Source organism: Homo sapiens, chromosome 3 (genome assembly GCF_000001405.40).
Source record: "Homo sapiens chromosome 3, GRCh38.p14 Primary Assembly".
NCBI classification, from domain to species: domain Eukaryota; kingdom Metazoa; phylum Chordata; class Mammalia; order Primates; family Hominidae; genus Homo; species Homo sapiens.
In genome coordinates, this window is record NC_000003.12 from 50439990 (window position 1) to 50459485 (window position 19496).

General features: G+C 55.4%; 1 protein-coding gene and 2 long non-coding RNA genes across 8 annotated transcripts in view, besides 3 other annotated features; 1 reads left to right on the forward strand and 2 right to left on the reverse strand.

Annotated features, from left to right (window-relative positions):
- CACNA2D2 (calcium voltage-gated channel auxiliary subunit alpha2delta 2) overlaps positions 1-19496 on the reverse strand; it is a 141632-nt gene that overhangs the window by 77377 nt on the left and 44759 nt on the right. The window lies entirely within an intron of this gene.
- Positions 6961-7462: an enhancer, noted in NCBI's record as "H3K4me1 hESC enhancer chr3:50484381-50484882 (GRCh37/hg19 assembly coordinates)". NCBI's record gives its function as "activates a minimal SCP1, AML or CMV promoter by ChIP-STARR-seq in primed H9 embryonic stem cells {active_cell/tissue: H9 hESC(primed)}" and the evidence as "EXISTENCE:reporter gene assay evidence [ECO:0000049][PMID:30033119]".
- Positions 13650-14204: an enhancer, noted in NCBI's record as "H3K4me1 hESC enhancer chr3:50491070-50491624 (GRCh37/hg19 assembly coordinates)". NCBI's record gives its function as "activates a minimal SCP1, AML or CMV promoter by ChIP-STARR-seq in primed H9 embryonic stem cells {active_cell/tissue: H9 hESC(primed)}" and the evidence as "EXISTENCE:reporter gene assay evidence [ECO:0000049][PMID:30033119]".
- Positions 14289-15581, forward strand: LOC105377082 (uncharacterized). Its single transcript, XR_940832.3, has 2 exons — positions 14289-14660; positions 15384-15581. It is a non-coding gene; the product is annotated as an uncharacterized LOC105377082 (long non-coding RNA).
- Positions 14759-15313: an enhancer, noted in NCBI's record as "H3K27ac-H3K4me1 hESC enhancer chr3:50492179-50492733 (GRCh37/hg19 assembly coordinates)". NCBI's record gives its function as "activates a minimal SCP1, AML or CMV promoter by ChIP-STARR-seq in naive H9 embryonic stem cells {active_cell/tissue: H9 hESC(naive)}" and the evidence as "EXISTENCE:reporter gene assay evidence [ECO:0000049][PMID:30033119]".
- LOC124909378 (uncharacterized) lies at positions 15405-17004 on the reverse strand. The gene is made up of 2 exons (XR_007095906.1): positions 16357-17004; positions 15405-15853 (listed from the first exon to the last, which is right to left on the reverse strand). It is a non-coding gene; the product is annotated as an uncharacterized LOC124909378 (long non-coding RNA).

Consider the following 19496-nt stretch of genomic DNA (forward strand, 5'->3'; position numbering starts at 1 on the left):
AATCCACCTTGAAGACTGGAGAGTTGATGGGGTAACCAGGCACCTGGGGACCCTCTACCACTGACAGCACTTGGGACAGATCCAGGACAGGCTGCACCCCTCAGGGCTCTCCCTATAGCCTAGTTCTTGATGGGACTGAGGGGCTGCCCCATGATGGGTGCACAAAAACCCTAATCTGGCTGCTCTGGGGACACACCAGCCACGAGACTGGGTGTGTGACTGGCAGCTCCCCAGGAGGGGGCTAAGGCCTGTCCCTCACCAGCCTGGCACAGGGCTTACAGTAGGGCAAGGGGCCCCTGGAGCCCTCAGGGCACACTATCGGTGCCCAGGCAGGGGGGCTGCGTGCCACTCAGTTACATGCTTCATCAGCTGCTGACATTTTTGCCAACTGCCATGTTAGGTTCCTAAGTGGCCATGCCACACTGCCACCATCCCAGGCGGGGTGGCCCCATGGTCACTCAGCTGTATATGGTGTCCTGTCACACACAGGTTTTGTACACTGTGATGTTAGTTGTCCCATTAATAATTCCCCTTCATATCCAGTACAGAATGCCTGGGATGAACGCTCTCTTTAGAGGGCATCACAGACACAGAACCAGGCCATTACAATCAGCCTGCACGGGCTACAGTGGAGGTCACACAGCAGTGTGGGAGCAGAGAGGAGGGTGCCTGGCCTGGTCTCCTGGGTGGGCGGCCCATTAATAGCACTATCCTCCCCCACCCCCACCTCCTTACATCCCCCTGGAACAGCAGAGATGGAACAGACCTCGTCCCTGCCCTCCTGGGACTCTCTATCCAGAGGGGACAGATGCCCAGACAGGTGGCAGTAGACAGAGCTGTGCAGGAGACACTTGGGAGTGGGGCTGGCCTGCTCCAGGGTGGTAGGGGGCAAGAAAAAGCCTGGGGAGGGCTTTCCAGGGGAGAGGACATCTGAGCAGTCTGAAAGGCTGGGCAGGGGTTTTTGTGGGTGGACAGGGACGAGGGACGCTTGGCAGCAGTAGCGCCAGGTGCAAAGGCTGGGAGAAGCGGGGATAAGGGACTGCTCAGTGGCTGCAGAGGGGCTTGTTGGGGGACAGAAGCTGGGGAGACAGGGTGTGAGGGCAAGGGGAGCAGATACCCAGGTGGTGGGGACAGGGGGATCCTCCAGGAAGGAGGGACATGTGACTGACCACAAGGTGAGAAAGGCCTGGCGGCTCTGTGGTCCCTCGTCCTCAAGAGGCAACTTCTAGGAGCTTTCACCAGCAAGATTACCTTCACAAAACTCACAGGGGCCTGAAGCCCCCACCACCACCCCCAGCAACGCCTCCCTGTTTTTAAAGTTAAAGTTTAGTTGACTGTCATCCATTACCGCAATTAGTACATTATGTCTAATTATGCAATTAGTGTAAAAAGTGCACTTGCTGCTGAGAATGGGAAATTACGCTGCCTCGTTACGCTGTAAAATCCATGTCATAAAAAGGCTCAATCTCTTGTTTTTCAAAAGACACAAAACCCAACACAAAACAATAAACCAAATCCTCCCAGCCAAGCAAGGGCCAGTCTGTGCCAACCTCCCTGTGCTTGCCCCTGTGCAGAGCCTGCCTGTGAGGCCTGCCCTAAATGTGCCCCCAGGCAAGGCACCACCCACCAGAGACACTGGGCATGGCCCATTCCTGGGTGTAGCCCTTTGCTCCTCTGAAACATACGCGAATTTCCAAACTGACTTGAAAACTGTGGCAATCCTGATTATCCATTTACACCAGGCCTGACTTGAGGCCTCCAGTGTTAAGGCCTGTATCTCAGGGGAGAACAGTCCTAGAAGGAAATGGTATCCACCCAGCTCCAAAATGAGAGGTCCTTTCTCCAAGGTTCCTGATGGCTTCTGTGAACAGGGTTGCAGAATCCAGCTCGGAAGTGGGAGGAACTTTCCCACACTCAGGACTCCCAAAGCCTGAAAGCAACACCTGGATAAGTAGTGAGCCCCCCACCACAGGGACTATTCCAGCCCAGCTGTCAGGAATGCTGAGAAGGGACTCACCCATCATTAGCAAGCACCGTGGCTGGATTCCAGGCTGCCATCGTTAGATAACAGCATTCCTATGGCCGTGTGCCTATGTGAAGCTTGCAGTCTGTGACTTTATCTCCCCTAAATTCTGGCTCCCTTGGTGGTCACGAGGATGCTTTGGGGACAGGTTTGGAGTGAGAAAGAATCAAATGAGGTCTCCCTACTACAGAAGTGACAATCCCAAATGGCCCTGGGCAAGGGGGCTGGAGAGGGGGCACACTCCAGTGTCCCCGCCTGCCTATGCCAGCATGAGGCACACTCCTGTGTACCTCAAAACAAATGCTGCAGGACCAAAGCCATCCACGATGTATCTCCAAGGTCACAAGTTAATGCTCTAGCGTAGGCTGCTGAGTGCCTGCCCAAGAAGCACTTTCCCCAAGCAGCTTCCCTGAGCCCCTGCCTCTGAGCTCCCACCACTCCTTGATCTAAGATGCTTGACCCAGGCCTTGGGGTGGGTGGTGCAATACCACGGAGACACCTTCACAGACAAGAATCTGCCCTGGCCTCCTGGGGATGATGCACGACCTCATGTAGGTGCCACTGCTGAGTGGCACTCAGACAAGGTATTCACAGAATTCACAGAGCAGAGAATCTGAGGCATGGAGACCCACATATCCCAGGGCCCATGGGGCACTGGCTCCCTGCAACCTCACCCACCTGCAATTGTCATCCATTGGTTCTGGGTGTGCTGAGATACTGGAGCACTGACCACACCCCAGAGAGAAGCAACTACTGAGAAAGCAGCTGGGGTAGAGGGAGGAGGGCATGGACCCCACTGGAGGGGCATCTGTTGCCTGAACTCAAGACAAGCGTCCCTGGACAGTTCCAGCCTCCAGGCCTTTGTCTACTCAGATGGGCTGGAGAGCAGGGGAGACAATTCTGGCACAGCACAGCCACATGGACACCAGCCATGGAGACTCTCAGGGCCCCCATCCTCTCAATGTGGCCTGGAATAGCATCGGGTGGGGAATTTGAGCCTGAGGTGAACCAAACCGCAGGCAAGAACCAGGGGCCCCTGTTTGCTCCCCCTCCCTGAGTTGGGAGCCGCCGGCTGTCGAGGCAGCTGGGAGGGAAGCTGTGCCCAGCATACCAGCTGGCACGGGGGAGTGCGAGTAAACATACCCGCACTTTCCCAACTCACAGAAGTCGCCGGGTGCGGCCGGCTGGTGTGGGCGCCCATGTTTATGGGAAGCAGATTGTTTGTGTCGGCGTCTGGGCCCCCTTGCCACCCACCCTGGCTCTGCTCTCTCCCGCTGCCTCCCCATCCAGTTGGCCCTGCCTTCCTTTCATCAGAACTCCTCAGCCTCTTGACTGCAGAAGGATGGGGATAGTGATGACAGGTCCTCTGTGTGGCCAGACAGGGCTCAGCGCATAACCCATGGAGTCCTTGTCATTTGATAGCTCTGGGAAATAGAGAAACTGGCTGCAGACTACCAGGCAGTGAGTGGAGGTGCCTGTGGCACTGGGCTTCTCAGACCCCAGCCATCAGTTCCAGGCCCCCGCTGCCGCTCAGTTCTCTGGCCCGCAGACTAGCCCGGCCTGCCCTTCAGTCCGTTCACCACCTTGTGCAGCCCTGGCCCAGCTTGGCCTTGGACAAGGACCCTACCCCCGCAGCAGGACAAACGGCCCCCTCTGCCCTACAACAGCCCAAGTAGACAGACCCAGAGTTGGGCCGCTGCCTTGCCATCTGGCCTCTTCAACCCCTTCACCCTCGTGCCCCCATCTTCGGATGTGTAAAATGGGTTAAAGTAAAGCCCCCTTTACCCACCTCTCAGGACTCAGGGACAGTGGGCTGGGAGTGAAGGGCTCTGGGAGCCAGGGTGGGCAGAGGCTCCAGTGGACCCTTGGTGGGCCAGGGGGGACTCCCAATCATGTCACAGCTCCAGTGGGTTTCAACGGGTCATGGAGCTCTCATGTGAGATGAAACAGTCATTGTGGCCCAGAGTCCTTATAGCCCAGAGCTGGCAGAAATTCACCCCCATAAGTACCCTCATGAGACGGAATTGAGGCCAGGAAGAAAAGGGCAAAATCTGCTTTCTCTGTATCACCTCCATCCACCCCTCACAACCCTGATAGGTCAGGTGAGCAACCTTCTTCAGGGGCTGGGCAGGTCCCCCAAGGACTCCAGAGTGGCTAGAAACTGACCTTGCCCCAAAGCCACCAGTCAGGCCCTGGGGGTGGAGATGACTGTAACAAGGGCACCCTGGAGGTGGTCAGCAGCTGGCTGGCTTTTCATCTTACAGATGAGGATACTGAGGCGCCGGGAGGGTCAGAATCTGTCCAAAGAGGAGACTTCCCAGTCTCTTGCACCCACAGCCAAGAATGGCCAAAAGCCATGGGTCTGAATTCCTGCTCTGCCCTTAAGCAGCCTTGTGGTTTGGCTCGAGCCTTCACCCTCACAGTCTGCACAGCCCTGAGCTACCTCAGCCAGGCCATCCTGGCATTCCTTAAAGATGGAAGTTCAAGTGTGGGGTGCTGGTGGCTTTTCATGGGACCGCCTTCCAGGGTTGCTCCCAAGGCCCTGAGCACCTTCCCTGATCCATTCTGTCCTGCAGGGACCAACTTTCCCGGCCTCACAGGCTGGAATTCTGTCCTGTGCTGCTGAGACTTGCTAAAGATGTCACCACATAAAGACAGCACCAACGACAGCCCCAATCACAGTAAGAGGTGCTGCTGAGGCCCTCAGGCTGGCTGCTCTTGTGAAAACATGAGATCTTAGCATGGCAGGTGTGGGAGATAAGGGTAGAGAGATGAAGGTAAGCCCAGAAGATGAGCCCATGTCCTCTCATGGTATCAGGGGCCTCTTTTGGGGCAAGGTGATCCCAGGGACCTGCCCTGTACCAGTGCACAGATGCAGCAGCAGGCACATGCACTTGACCTTGCATACCAGGTCACACACACTGACCTCACCACATTCACACCTAGGACTCAGGAAGCCCCTTGCAGATCTTGCTCAAGTCTCACACTTAGGCTCACAGAAAAGGTACCATAGCCTAGATGGGCCTGTCCACTGTCACTGGATATATGGCAGCCCCAGGCCTGCGTGAGGCTCTGTGGGTGTCCATTCACACCTCAAAAAGTGGTGTGTGGCCATCTGAGATGTTTTAAGCAGTGGAACTTTGCTGGCTTGGACGGTTGGGGCTACCTGAAGGTCATGACCCTAAATCCTGCTGAACACACCATTGGAAGGGCTCCTAACAGCATAGGTGCCGGACCTGGATGGGGCAAGGGCATGGCCTGACCCACAGTGGACTCTGAACCAGGGTCCCAGGAGAGCCCAGCTAGGCTCCCCCTTCTGAGTTCTTGATGCAGCTGACCACAAGGCACCGGTAAGGCAGTAGGCACCAGAGTCACTGTGAATGTGCAAGCAAGTGTGCAAGGGGACACACCATGCCTGGGCCATCTCATTTACCTCCTCTGTCAGCACCTCCTGATGCCATCTTACTCCCTCCTCTAAGTTTTCCTTTTTCTCCTACTTCCAATTTTTAGGCTCTCCTTGAATTTTATGTATCCTTGTAAGTGCCCTTAAGTCTTCTGTAGAACAAGTCGGAAGCATAAATAAATAAACAAACAGGACCAAGACACTAAGGCTGTGTATAGACTGAAGATATGCTGAGGACAGGTGCACATTAGGGACATGCATGCTCTGAAAACACATGCACTCTGGGGACACAGACCCAAGGGAACTCAGCTTCTCCCATCATTTACAGCCTATCCTGGGCTCTCACAAGAAAGCTCCCATTTTGGACCTGAAAAATGCAGGGGTGGGGTTACCACCCAAAGCTTTCCTAGAGCTGGGGTCAGTGATCTCTGAACCCAGTCCATAGAGGTGCTCCTGAGCAGGCTCTGGCCCTTCTGTACCTCAGTTCCCCCTTATTTCACTTTTGGGGAAGAGGGACAATCCATGGCACCTCCAGCTCCAGGTTCTCTCTCGGTGTATGCAAAACTCCAGCAGCAACAGGGGCCAGCATTTACCTTCCCGCATCCGTGCACAGTGTTTGCCATGCAAACAAACTGTGCAAACAGGACTGATGGCCCGGCCACACTGGCAAACACCATGAGGGCCCTTAGCCTGAACAGCCATGAACTTCTAAGTTAAGTGTGCTATGCTCAGGGGAGGCACATGCTGTGCCTGGGCCCTGACTCCAGGTGTGCCACCTCCTTGTTGCCAGGTTTGGGGGCTGTGGGGTTGGGTGACAATTATTACGGGATTAGCTGCCATTACTGGCGGGGCCAAAGTGAGCCTCCACACCGGCCATCCATTTCATCAAATTCTCACCAGCCCCAGTTGTCCTTATTTTACAGATGTCCTTATTTTACAGATGAGGCAACTGAGGCACAGAGAGTAACTGGCAGAGCTGGAATTCAATGACTACATGGACTTACCACATGCATGAACACAGACCCTGTTTCGGACTCTGCCTCCATCTCCCCAGCAGCTGTCTCCAGCCTGTGGGATCCTGTAACTCCTCTTCAGGCCCAACCCTGCCCCTGACCCCTCCTTTGGGAAGCCACTCTGACTGCCCCCTTGGCCATGTCCATTGGGCCACCTGCACCAGGGCTATGAAAGTCAGCGGGGTCAGCTGAGTCTCGGGTTCACAAACCCCATCCTGTTTTGAACATCCATCAAGAGCTTTTTCTCAGACAGTTGGGTGAACCCTCCCAGGAAGCCAGTCCCTTCAGGATAACAAGCCCCTAATTCATTTGCCTGGTGCTGTCTACCAGACCCCGAGGGCTCATTCGCCCAACCTGTGCCCAGAGGGATTGCAGGGGGAGGGAGAGCCAAGGACAGTTCTGAGCTGGCCCAGAGGGTAGGTAGACTTCAAGGAGGTGCTTCGACTTGTAGGAAACCATCTTCGTTTGTAAGGTTGGAAGTCTAGGACCCTAGGCTACAGGTGCATAAACTGAGGCCCAAGTCAGCAGGGTAAGCAGCAGCAAAGAGCCAGGATGACCCAGGCTCCAGCTTCTCACCTTCTTCCGTGCTAGGAAGGTCAGAGAAGACATTCCAGGGAAAGGTGTAGCTGGATGGGCCAAAACAGATTGTGTACCTTCCCGGCAGAGGAGCAGCATGCAAAGGTGAAGAAGAAGGAAGGCTGGTGAGGAGAGCTTCCGGGGGAGGGGATCCACTAGCAGGCAGGGGCAGCTCTGAACCCGACCCTCACCGGGAACTCACTGCCTGTGTGAATTCTGAGAAACTGTAAGGTCGTCTGGAGGCTACAGGCTGGAGGCCTGGATCCCCACATGCAGTGTGACCTTGTCTCCCCCACCGCCCCCTTCTCGTGGTCAGGTGCCCATGGGGTCTTGGAGGCGATGGTGCCCTGGGCTTCCACATCGTCTGTCGGCAACCTCCAGCAGGAAGGAGGGAGGCCTGCACTTCTAGCTCTGTCAAGGGCTCCCTGAGCAAGGAGGCGGTGAGGGCAATGACGCCAGGAGGACAAGAGCGGAACAAATTGCCCTGATTATGTAAGGCAGCTCTACTTCCTCCTTAGGAGGGAGAGAACTGGGAGCTAGGTTCCCCCCTGCCCCATGTCCCTCCCATACCACTGGGCCTGCTAGGAGACCCCTCAACAGAGGCTCACTCAGTCCGCCCCTGGGGCCTGCAGGGCGTGACTGGGGCAAGTGGCCTGAGTTGGTCCTGCTCAGTCACTGCTCCTCCAGTGTCTTTGAGCATACATGAGCCCCTCCAGGTTTCCTGCCTGCACCCTGAGCTGGCAGCCTCCCTGCCTGCTTGCCCAGAACTCCACACCCCAGGCCTCTCCCTGCCCCAGTCACCACAGAGCCTGGGGAACTCTGACCTCTTCCAGAATCCAACCAAGGTCACATCCAGAATGCCACACCCTGACTGGATCAGGGCTCAGGTACGCTCTTCTAAGTGCCCCACAGAGGTCTAAGCAGGGAGCCCTCCTTTTTAGGCCCCAGAACAGGCTAAGAGTCAGACCAGCCATATCCTCAACCTGGCCTCTGGACTACCCGTCCCCTCCATGAACAAAACCTAGCCTCCCCCAGGGCCTTGAGCCCTCTGAGTTGCTATCACTTCCCCCTACCCTAGGGCCCTTAGGGAATGCTGGAGATGCCCTAGGCTGAAGCTCCTAGGTGGCAACCATGTGGCTCCTCCCTGGCACAGGGCAGGCATTCCCTGGACAGGCCCCTTTACCAGTTAGGCCTGGGTATGTTCTGCTCTGCAGGGTTGCCCTGCAAAGGAGGCTGGGAAACCCTCTCCCATATAGTATTACGCTTTGTGGAGTCATCAACGTGACTGGAAGCTCTGGCTATCAAGCTCTTTGAGTTTACAATGCTGGGAGGTTTAGGGTTCCTAAACTGCAAATTTATCTCCTGCCATAAACCCAGATGATGCAGAAGCCAGTGTGTGCCTGAGTGTATCTGTACATGTATGTAGGAATGTTCACTGGTGAGCACATAGGAAGCGTGATGGTGCTTCCATGGGCACCTCAGGCCCAAGCACATGACCCAGTGTATGTCTCCAGGTACTCACATATCCTGGTGCCTGTGTGTCGATGCACATATGTATCCTGGTGTGTATATGCCCAGGTTTATGGCGCATGTTGGGGGAAGGCTCGCAATGAACAAAGTAAGGTGCATGTGTTCCTGAGCTCAGCCCTGAGCTCCTGTGCTCAAGTACAGCACACAGTAGGTCTCAGGGAACATCTGTGTGTGTGCACAGGCCCAGGGTACCCTCAAGCAGACCAGTCCCTGCCCTTCTGCCCACCATTTCAGAGGGACTAGAGCCCTGCACTGGTCACATCCCTAGAGCCAGGCCACCCACACTGTGCTGGTGCCCGCTTCTAGCCACTACCCCCACAGACCCTGAGAACACCCCATTGATGGCGCAGGCTGCAACAGAGACAGTCTGAGGCACAGATTCCCTCCTGCATGTGGGGGAGAGCCGCAGCGAAGCCCTCAGGCAAGGGATCCTTCCTGCCCACCCCCATCCCACAGACAAGAGGATCTGGAAACATCACGAAAACGACTGATCTTCCTGCTGATGGTGGGCGAGAAAAAATTATCTTTCTCTGAACACTAAAAATAAAGCCCAGTTTCCTAAAAGCAGGGCCCTTCTTAGCCAGTGGCTTAGAGAGGCTTCATCACTGAACTCCTAAGGTAGATTCGTTGAAGCCAAGAGAGGAACAAACCCTCGGCTGCCTCATTGAGGGGCTCAGCCTCGGAGCAAGATGGCAGCCCCCCACCCCTGTGATCCAACCCTGGACCTAGGACCTCACCATGAGCCCTGATGATGCTATCAGAGGTGGGCAGGAAGAGGGTAGCAGGAATTGGGTCCATATGCTGCTCGTGCCCAGCTAATGGGCTGACAAATTAGCAGGTCTCCCCTCTAGGAGGTGATGCATGAGCAGTCGCCCAGGAGAGCTGGGGGATGGGCCACCCTCCATAGCACTCCTTAGGCTCAACCCTGATGCCACCTCCATGGCTGCGCAGCCCTGCTGAGATTCCTCAGGGGTAGTGGTTGGGACTAGGGGGTGACTGTGGATTTTAGGCATGGGGAAGGCAGAAAGGGCATAAAAGGGCAGACCCAGCCTCAGAAGCCATACAAAAACAAGCCCAGCCAAGAAGGCCCAAATCAAGGCCAGGGATGAAAATAGTGTCAGCCTGAAAGGACACCATTAAGAAGGGTCTTAAAGCGTGGCCCTGTGATGCCTCCGCCACACCACACTCAGAATGACCTTGAGGCCATGAAGAGAGGGTGGCCTGGGGCGGGGGGAGCCTGTACTCCCAGGACTGCCCACCACACTCCCCATCAGAGACACAGGCATTCAGCCCGGGCCCTAGGGACTGAGTAGGTGGGAGAGAGACCTAGGGCTGGGTTCTGGGGCTTCACCCATGAAGTGGAGCTGCTTCTCCCACACAATGACAGGACTGTCACCACCCAAGCTCACAAGGGCTGTGGAGGGGACATAGTGGGAGGTGAGGCTCCATGTGAGGAGGGGTCCATGGAGCCTGACTCAAAGCAAACTGCAGCCTCCAGAGTTTGTGAGCCCCAAGCCACAGAAGGGGGCAAGCTAAAGGTGGCCCCCAGGTCTCAACCAGTCCTCTCAGTGGAGACTTAGGCCAACCTGAAAGCCCAATATTCTTGATTTGCCCCCAAAATCACTATACAGCCCCACCTTCCATGCACACAGGACATCTAAAATGGGGCAGGATTCACACATTCTTTTGACAGCGGATCGGCCTGGCTCCCTTTGAGGGCCCTCGGGTCAGGTGAGGCAGTCCCTGACCCAGTTCCTGTGTGGGCTTCCTGTGCAAATGGGCCCCAAGCCCCACCTACCCCCGCACCGCCTCCCCTACCCTGCCCCCGCCCCGTGTAAACAGAACCCGCCACTCTCTCCCAGGAGCTGCTAATTCCTCGCCAGAACTGCTCGGACGTGAAATTGGAGTGAGACAATGTGTGTTTAAGGAAATGAATCTCGAATCTTAAGAGGCTCTGGAGCCCGCCCTGCACCCCCATCACCCTGCTCTCGCCCACCAGAGCCAGGAAAGGAGCACTTGGCATCAGAGAAGAGAAAGGCGGAGGTGACATTCAGCGCCAAATTAGCAGCCGCCACAGCCAAATATTGTACTTGCCTCCAATCTTCTTTTATTTTTCCAAAGAAAAGGCTTTTACAGAGTGAAAGAGGCTGTTGGAACACTGAGGCTGATGATCGTTTGTAAAAGGCAGGCCTGCTGCGCGCATGCCTGACTCAGAGCCTTCCCTTCCCATCGGCAGGCCTCCCCTCCCTGCCCACAGTCACATCCGCAAGACGCCCGCCGACGTCACACCCCACCGCACCAGCCACACTGGCCGATGTCACGGGTGTCCTTAGCCAACAAGACCCAGGGGCTCTGACCCTGTGCCAGTCCTGGACATGGGACCTGCCTCTGAGCTGTCTCCCCGCCTACATGGGGCCCTTGGAAATGAGGACTCATTTGTGGTGTGTACAAAACCACTGTGCCTACAGAGGCCTCAAAAGTGACCAGTCCATGACCTCTGTAGGGGCTCCTCATCCACCCCAATGGCCCTTAGTGCCCCCTCCATGGACAGCCACCCTGCCTCTGCCATCATCACTTTTATCCCTCCCACCAGGGGCTGTTTTTTTTTGAGACGGAGTTTCACTTTTGTTGCCCAGGCTGGAGTGCAATGGCGCGATCTCGGCTCATTGCAACCTCTGCCCCCTGGGTTCAAGCGATTCCCCTGCCTCAGCCTCCCGAGTACCTGGGATTACAGGTGTGCGCCACCATGCCCAGCTAATTTTTTGTATTTTTAGTAAAGATGGGTTTCACCATATTGGCCAGGCTGGTCTTGAACTCCTGACCTCAGGTGATCTGCCCACCTCGGCCTCCCAAAGTGCTGGGATTACAGGCATGAGTCAACACGCACGGCCCAGGGGCTGTTTTAAGGCCCCTCCCCAGGCTGCCTGACACTTTGTTGAACACTACCAGTCATCCTGAAGTTCAGGCCCCTGAACCCAGCCTACCTCCATCCACGCTAATTAACCCACTGAGCAGGCTGAGCAGATACCCTCTGCATGCCCCTCCACTATTTTCATCCCTGGCCCCTTGACCAAGTGCTTGGACAACTTCCATGGGTTTTATCGATGGTACAGACTTAGCCCATGTCTCCCATTTCCTCAAACCTGGCTGCCAGGGGCCTGTCCAGTGAGAGGATGGGGAGCCTGCTGAGAGGCCCCCTAGTTCCCACCTGGATGGTGACTGGAACCTGGCCCTGTCCCACAGGTGCACCCTTCAAGCTCACACTGTGTCTCAGAGCCCACCTCAGACCCCACTCCTAACCAACCCCAGGAGGTGGAGGCGTGGCAATGGTCCATTTTGCAGGTGGGATACTGGGTTCAGAGAGTTCTTGTGACTCACCCGAGGCCTCAGCGCTGGCAAGAGGCATAACCAGAACCTGGGTCCAAGCTGCACAAGTCTCATGATGTGGATGCTGGGCTGCATCACCCAGATTACCCCTTCGGCACGAGGCCCTCATCCCCTCACTGCCAAGGGTGTTGCCTGCTGACTCCTCTCATCCGAGTCCCTCCCCAGGCTGTACCCCGAGCAGATGTGGCTCCACTGCCTGTGGTCACAGAGGTGGAGTGGGGGTGCACAGAGGCCTGGTCCCTTGGCCTCAATGGGGACAGCTCTGATGGGCCAGCCCACCTCCAGGGCTGTCTGTGGAATTGGCTCAGGCTTGAGAATGCCTCACAGCCCAACTTTTCCTGCTGCCCAACCCTGCGTCCTTCACCCCTCACAGGTGTGGTTCCCAAGAGTACTCTCCAGTAAACACCTGCACATGACCTCCATCTCAGAGTCTGACTCCAGGGAATGGACCCTATCGGAGCTGGTGCCAGAAGTGGTCCCAGAAGGCCAACCCTAAAGTGGGCATTGTTGTGCTGACGAGAACCTCTCCATGGAGGCAGGGGGAGCCCTGACAATCCTGACATGTGATGGATGTAACTGCTCATTGTGAACCAGCTTGGGATACCTGTGAATGGGTGCAACATCTCAGGTGTCAGACAGGCTCAGGGAAGTGTAATTATAAGAACTATGGAATGGGATGGCTGTGGCTGGGAGCTATCAATGCTTTGGAGAAAGACAAGGCAAGACTGAGTAAGATTCAAAACAAATTTACGGTGAAATGTGAACATGAGAAGCCCCCTTGGCAGGATATAAGATGATTCTCATCTGCAACCAGAGGCAGAAAAGCACAGGACTTTATCACAAGAGTCAAAGATCCTCAGGGGGTTATAGTTTCAATCCCAGCAGGCTGGTTACACCAAGGCCAGGCCAAGACCCTGACAGCAAAGAAGTGGGGCCCTGCATTGTAGGATGGGAACATCTGAATCACTGCACTCAAGAACCTTGACCCCCACTAAACTCTCTGAGCCTGCAGAAGTAGCCCCTCATCCCTGCTAAAATCTAGGATTTCCTCTTTGTCTGAAGATGATGCAGAGGCCTCCTGTGTGCAAATCTTAAGAGTCTCAGAGTCTTTTCCCAGGAATATGACCTCAGAGAGAAGGCTCAGTTCTCTCACTGGGTCCAGAACGAGTCCATGAGCCCATCTCCACATCACTGAGACCCTAACACCAGCCTCTCCTCTCTTCCCCGCTGCCTGCCAGAGTCGTTCCCACTACTTGGCCTTTGTCCATGCTTCCCCAGAAATGCTCACCCCTCAGCTCTCCTCTTCCTCCAGGAAGCCTTCCCTAAACCCCCTGGTGAGTTCATCTGTGCCACCTCCCAAGTCCTAGCAGCCTCTCCATCTGTACTGCACATACACTGCACAGCCTACAGCAGGTCACCTGCTTTGGTCCCTGCGCATCCAAATGTCCCCTGAATAGGACAGAGCGATTTCGGACAGTCCAGGCCCATGTGCACCCACCAGTGCCAAATCCTGGACCAACCTACAGAAGTTCAAGAAAACCCTGTCACGGGGGTGGCTGGACTTCCAGGCCCCCAGCCCTGTCCTTCACACCCGGGATCCCTGCACTCAGGCCTCGCCCCTTTCAAGGAGGTGTGATTATTAGGACCTTCTCCATTACAGATAAAGAAACTCTAGAGGGCAACTGGCCCGTCCAGCGTCCTAGAATTGGGAAGGGGCTGCTCAGGATTTGCACCCCATCTGTCTGAATCTTCCTGACCACCATCCTCACGACTTCTGGCAAAGGAAGAGAGAGGGGCAGGTGAAGGCTCTGGGAGCTTGGCGAGACGGGAATGGACTCCATGGAGGATGTCTTGAGGGCTTCAGACAGGTAGATGTGCAAGGCAAAGCACTGCAGGAAGAGGGAATGGTGAGGGCCACGGCTGGGAGGTAGGCTAATGTGGAGGGGAGCCCCGGTTTGGAGTGGTAGGTCAGGGAAGGGAGGTGTGATCTGTGTGAAGGTCACGGTGGACACGACCAGGCCCGGGTCCTGCATCTGTTCTGCCCTGCCCCCGCCTCACGGAGCCCCATCTCCCCCTCCACACCCGGGTTCCGGTGCCTGCTCTGAATGGCCAATGAGGCCATCTGATTGGCTCATCAAGGGCAAATAATAGCTTTTGCTGAATTCAGCTGCAGCCAATCAGAGGCAATCAAGCACACAAGAGGCCTGATGGGCCACACAGGCGCACCCACAGGCACCAGAGCTGCCCCTCAGCCAGGCTCCGGAAGCCTCCTCCTCCCTCTTGTGTCTGAGCACTGGGGAGGGGGCTAGGAACCGAGTCCAGGAGGCCTCAGGAAAAGAAGGGGAAGGGACCGAGCCGGACTCCACAGCATTTGCTTGGCACCCGCTGTGTACGCAGAGTGCCGGAGAAGTTGGGCGTTGATGGGGGAGACTCGGGCAGAGGACGCGCACCCTCCCTGGCCCACTCACAGGCCCCTGGAGGGGCCCCCACAACAGCCCCCCAGCCACCCCCAACCTGGCCTCCAGCATCTCTCTCTGCCGAGTCCTTGCCTCTCCCCCGAGGAGAGCGGAGCCTCCAATCAGGGCCTGGGAAAGCAATTTTTCAATCTCCAACTGCAAACACTAATACCGCTGAAGCTAATTTTACAGATTTCCACTTCGAGGCCTTGCCTTTGTCCCAGAATCCCTCAGCCCGGGAGATTAGCAGTTTAGAGACTGGAAAAAATAAGGTATTTTAAAATTCAGCATAAAACTCTCTCTTATACTCGGTGAGCTAAAAAAAAATTTTTTTTTTGATTGGAAAAGAGCCTGTTAGTGAAGGAGGAGCCAAGTCCAGTCCCTGCTCCACAGGGTGGCTGGAGGAGGGGCACTGCCTGGGCCAGCCTCTGCAGCATGGCTCAAACCCACAGCCTATGGAGAGGCAGAGAAGGGGAAGGGTCAGCTCTCATCCTGCCCTGCGTGCTGGGAACACTGCCTGCTGCACTGGTAGGCCCTCTGCTTCAGGATCTGGATGGCGCCCCCCTTGAAGCCACCCAGCATTTCCAGGCGTCCAATCCCAAAAGTCTTCCCAGCTGAAAAGAAAGGCTTCGGCCCTAGGGATAGAACAGGTCACAAGCCTGCTGCTCACCGCCACTGCCAGTGAGGCTGATTCCACTCCAAAACAGGCCCTCTCTGGGCCTTGGTTTCCCCATCACACCAAAGGTCCAAAGTCCCTGGCCACATGCCCTCCTGGTATACATGCAGCTGAGCACTGTACGCCCCCTGCACACACACACCCCAAGCCACACATACTCGGACCCTCGCCCATGCGGACAAGCACCGGAGGCATTTGGTGGCGCTCACTCATTGAGCACCTCTCTATTGCAGCTCTCACAGATGAGCGGCATAATCACTCCGCTCTCTGGGGGCCACGAGCTCAGAAACATCCTAATGAAAAATAAATGTATTTACAGGGAGACGTCAAAGCCGCCAGGACCAGTCAAAGTAATATGCCTGCGACCGGCACATGGACTTTTATTTCTTCTCCCTCCACGCTCCAGAGCTGCTCCTGCGGCGTGGAGAGATAAATATTTTAAATAGCGACACTTTGGCGATGCACGGTTATGCAAGACAAGGAATAATTAGAAAATAAATTACTTTTTTTAAACACAGCGTTACAAACATCGGGTGCATCAGATTACTGTTCTCTGCAGGCCAGGGCCACACGGCTCAGGGAGGCCAGCGCAACAAGGACCTCAGGGAGCAAGCACACACCAGCCTGTCCCCACAGCCCCCAGATGGTGACACCCCTCCCGCCTGCTCTGGGAGGCTCCCAGAATCGAGCTGAAGACCACACTTGGCAGCTTCCAGAAGATCTCAGCGATGGAAAGGCTTCCTCCGGCGTCTCACCAGCAGTAGCGCAGACTAAAAATAGTTTAATCTCCTTGAAAGCAAAAGGAGCAATCAGCAAAACAGACACTTGGGCCCACATGCTCCCCCCATTCCTCTCCTCGTTCTGCCCCCATCCATCCAAGCTGTCCCCAGCTATGCATTGTCAACTTCTACCCATCCCAGGATAGTGCCCCACAGCCTCTGAGGAGGGCAGCTATTGCCCATCGTCCAGGACTCCTCATGTCTGCAGCCCTACATATACACAGCATGTGTCCTTTAAACCTTGTGACACCCCAGAAGGGAGGCAAGACAGGAAATGTTAGCCCTGTTTTACAGATGAAGAAACTGAGGCATAGAGAAGTGGAGTCATTTGCCTGAGGCTAGCAATGGTAGACAAGGGCTGTGTGCAAATGGAGGGGCTCAGCCTCTGCAGAAAGGAGGTAGGTAGCTTTTAATTAGCACCTAGCCTGAGTTCTGGTTGGCTCCCAAGACACAAAAGCTGCCCAGGGCAAGAAGAGGCAAGGGCTGGTAGAGTGGGGGAGGGGAGAGGCTCACACATTTCAAGGATGGAGTCAGCTCCATTCACAGCTGAGTGGGTCTATCACACAGATGTGTCTTGCCCACCGCAGCCAGACCAACATTGTGACTTCACAATTTTCACTCACTGGCCTGGGATAGGGTCTGGATCCTGTGTTCTGGCTCAAGCTTGCTAGGTGGCTGAGAGTCTGTCCCAACCTTCTCTGGGCCTCAATTTTCCGAGAGATTGGCCGAGGCAGTCAGAACGACCGTTGTCTCCAGGGATCCCTGCTTAGGACCCACCAGGAACCCTGCTGCCCTCCCAGGCCTGCCCCTCACACACTCTGCCCTTTCTCACTCAGTCCTACTTCTCAGCATCTGTCTACCTGCCCTCCTTTAGTGCCTAACTGCCTGAACTAGGAACACGGATAGTGTCCTGTTCCACCGCCTGGTTTTACAAGAGAAAATTCAGACAGGGAGGGGAAGGTCATGCATATGAGGCTACCCCTGGAAAGGTCAGAGGAGGCAGAGCAGATCAGGACCCAGATTCTGATCCCAGTTTCACACCCTTCATAACACTCCTTGTGGCTCCCCCAAGGACAGTACTGTCTGTTCAGAGTTCACTAGTGGAATGAAGCCCCCAAATAAAATGATAAACTGGAGCCAGGTGTGGAGGCTCATGCCTATAATCCCAGCACTTTGGGAGGCTGAGGCAGGCAGATCACTTGAGGCCAGGAGTTTGAGATTAGCTTGGCTAACATGGTGAAACCCTGTCTCTACTAAAAATACAAAAACTAGCTGGGCATGGTGGCACGCGCCTGTAATCCCAGCTACTCAGGAGGCAGAGGCATGAAAATTGCTTGAACTCGGGAGGCGGAGGTTGCAGTGAGCCGAAATTGCACCACTGCACTCCAGCCTGGGTGACAGAGTAAGACTCTGTCTCAAAAACAAACAAACAAACAAACAGAAACAAACAAACAAAAACGACAGACTAGGCTCTGGCAGGTAGTCCAGCTCACACAGTCTCTCGAAATGCCATCAGGGAAGTTGGAACTGAGGCTTCCTTTCCTGCTAAATATCGTTCCTTGTAACCAGCAGCTACCTGCAAAATATCACTCCATAATCTGGGCTCTGAGTTTTTCAAAAACTGTCTAGAAGGTGCTACACCCTGCTCACCCTCTCTCAGGGGCCAATGTCTCCCCGCAGCTCCTGGAAACCTCTGCCTTGGCTCCGCAGTCCATCCCTGGCCCCAGGTGCTCTGGTCCAGCTGTGTCTCCAGGTCCAGTCCTTGCCTCTTGCTCCAGCCTTTAGCCCCAGGTCCAGCTCTTGCCCCAACAACCCCACGTACCTCTGCCACTGCCTCAACACACCTGAGGCTTGGTTTCATCACTTGCAGCAATGATGCTGAGCGCAGAGACTTCCCTCCACCTTTTATATATGAAGAAACAAGACCCAGGTCACCTGATTTCTGAGGCTCTTCTTTTTGTTTGATTCTTCTCACAGTCCACCCTCCTACTCCCTCAGCTTCAGAAGAAGCTCAATCTCAATAGGTGATGATGGGGACTGAGGAGGGCAGCCCAAGTGGACAGACTAATGAGGGTAAGGGTATGGCCTTGGGGAGGCTCAGAGACCTGCCCTGACTCACTCAGAACCAGCTAAGTCTTTGGGAGCTGCCCCAAAGGGATGAGCCTCAGCCACCTGCCAGGTTCAGGGTAATGCCCTCCCCCAGCCATGGGTGCCCCAGGTAACACTACCTGCTAGATTATGAGCACAGGGAAGGTGCTGGGTCAGGGAGCCATCCAGGGAATAGCTGGCCCGCTGTCAGCCAAGGCAGAACTTGCTTTATCAGCAAAGCCCTTCCCCGCTGCTGGCTGCGTAAGCCAGGCCTGCCAGGGCTTCCCACTGCGCAGATGGGGAACTGAGACTTGGGACGAGGGGCACCTGGCCACGGGGAGAGAACCAGGCTGCTCAAGTGTCCCTGTGAGGCTAGCTGAGCTGCCTCTCTGCACCTTCCCCGAGTCCCAGAGACTCCCTGCTGCTAACTCCAAGCCAAGCCCTGTGCCCAACACACCCCCATGTACAGGGCAGCAGTTCTCAAACTGTGTTCCCTGGAGTCCTAGGCAGTAGACAGGGAGTCTCTGGGCTCATGTGGAGGGTCAGGTGTAGTGAGAGGGTGGTAAGAGACCAGCCCGGGCTTGCCTACCCACTTAGCCAAAGAACCCCCTGTTCATCAATTCACTGTCCAGGGCCCAGCGTAGATTTCACTTAACCAAACAGTAAGGACTCAGCTGCTACAAGAGAAGTGAAAGCAATGGTGCCTGGCGAACTTTCTTTCCCCAAACTCCCTGGCACGACAGTTAAGGACTATTCAAAATGGCAAAACCCACAGGAACAAAGGAAATGTGCAGGAGGCACTAGGAACAACATTTTGGAAGCTGGAGCAGACAGACTATGGTGATTGACTTACCAGGCCCTGGCAGGCCCACTGCTAGCAGCAATGGGTTAATGCTGGGGAACCCCAAAGGCTAGGTCCTGAAACCCCAGCTAGAAGACCGGGAGAACCTTCTCTGGGGAACCTGCTCAGTCAGGCCTGTGCCATCCCTTCCCCGGGTTTCTGGCCCAGCCCACCGACCTCCATCAACTCTCTAGGCTCTGGAGCTGAGCTGGGGCATGTGTTAGTGTATGTGGGGCTCTGTGTGCAGGGGACAGGGCCAGAGCTCACCTGTGAGGTGGCCCCACATCCAGAAATCTTTCTTCATCCCATTCCCTCTTTACCCTTTCCTGGGAAAAGAAAAACATGGAGGGGGAACTATGACAGACATCATATTTTGCAAAGTGAGCTAATTACAGGGCAGTCACACAGGGAGATGAGATTAGCAGAAGAATATTTGATAAAAGGGAACCCAGGTATACACATGGGTGGCAGGGAAAGGTCAGGGTCACCCTGAGGAGATTGTGGGGCCTAGTGCTTCTGCCTGGGCCACGGGGAGTGGAGGCAGTTGCCCCCCTCACTCAGTCACAAGGCTGGGGTGTCACTGCTGTCCATAGATGAAGCACAGATGGGTCCATTTTCTCTCTTTAAATGCTCACTACTAATCTGCTGGGCCTGGGGACAGGGTCTTCCCAACTCTCTCACCTGACTCGTGGTGGGGATGCATCAGCCCAGGGCACTCCTCCCA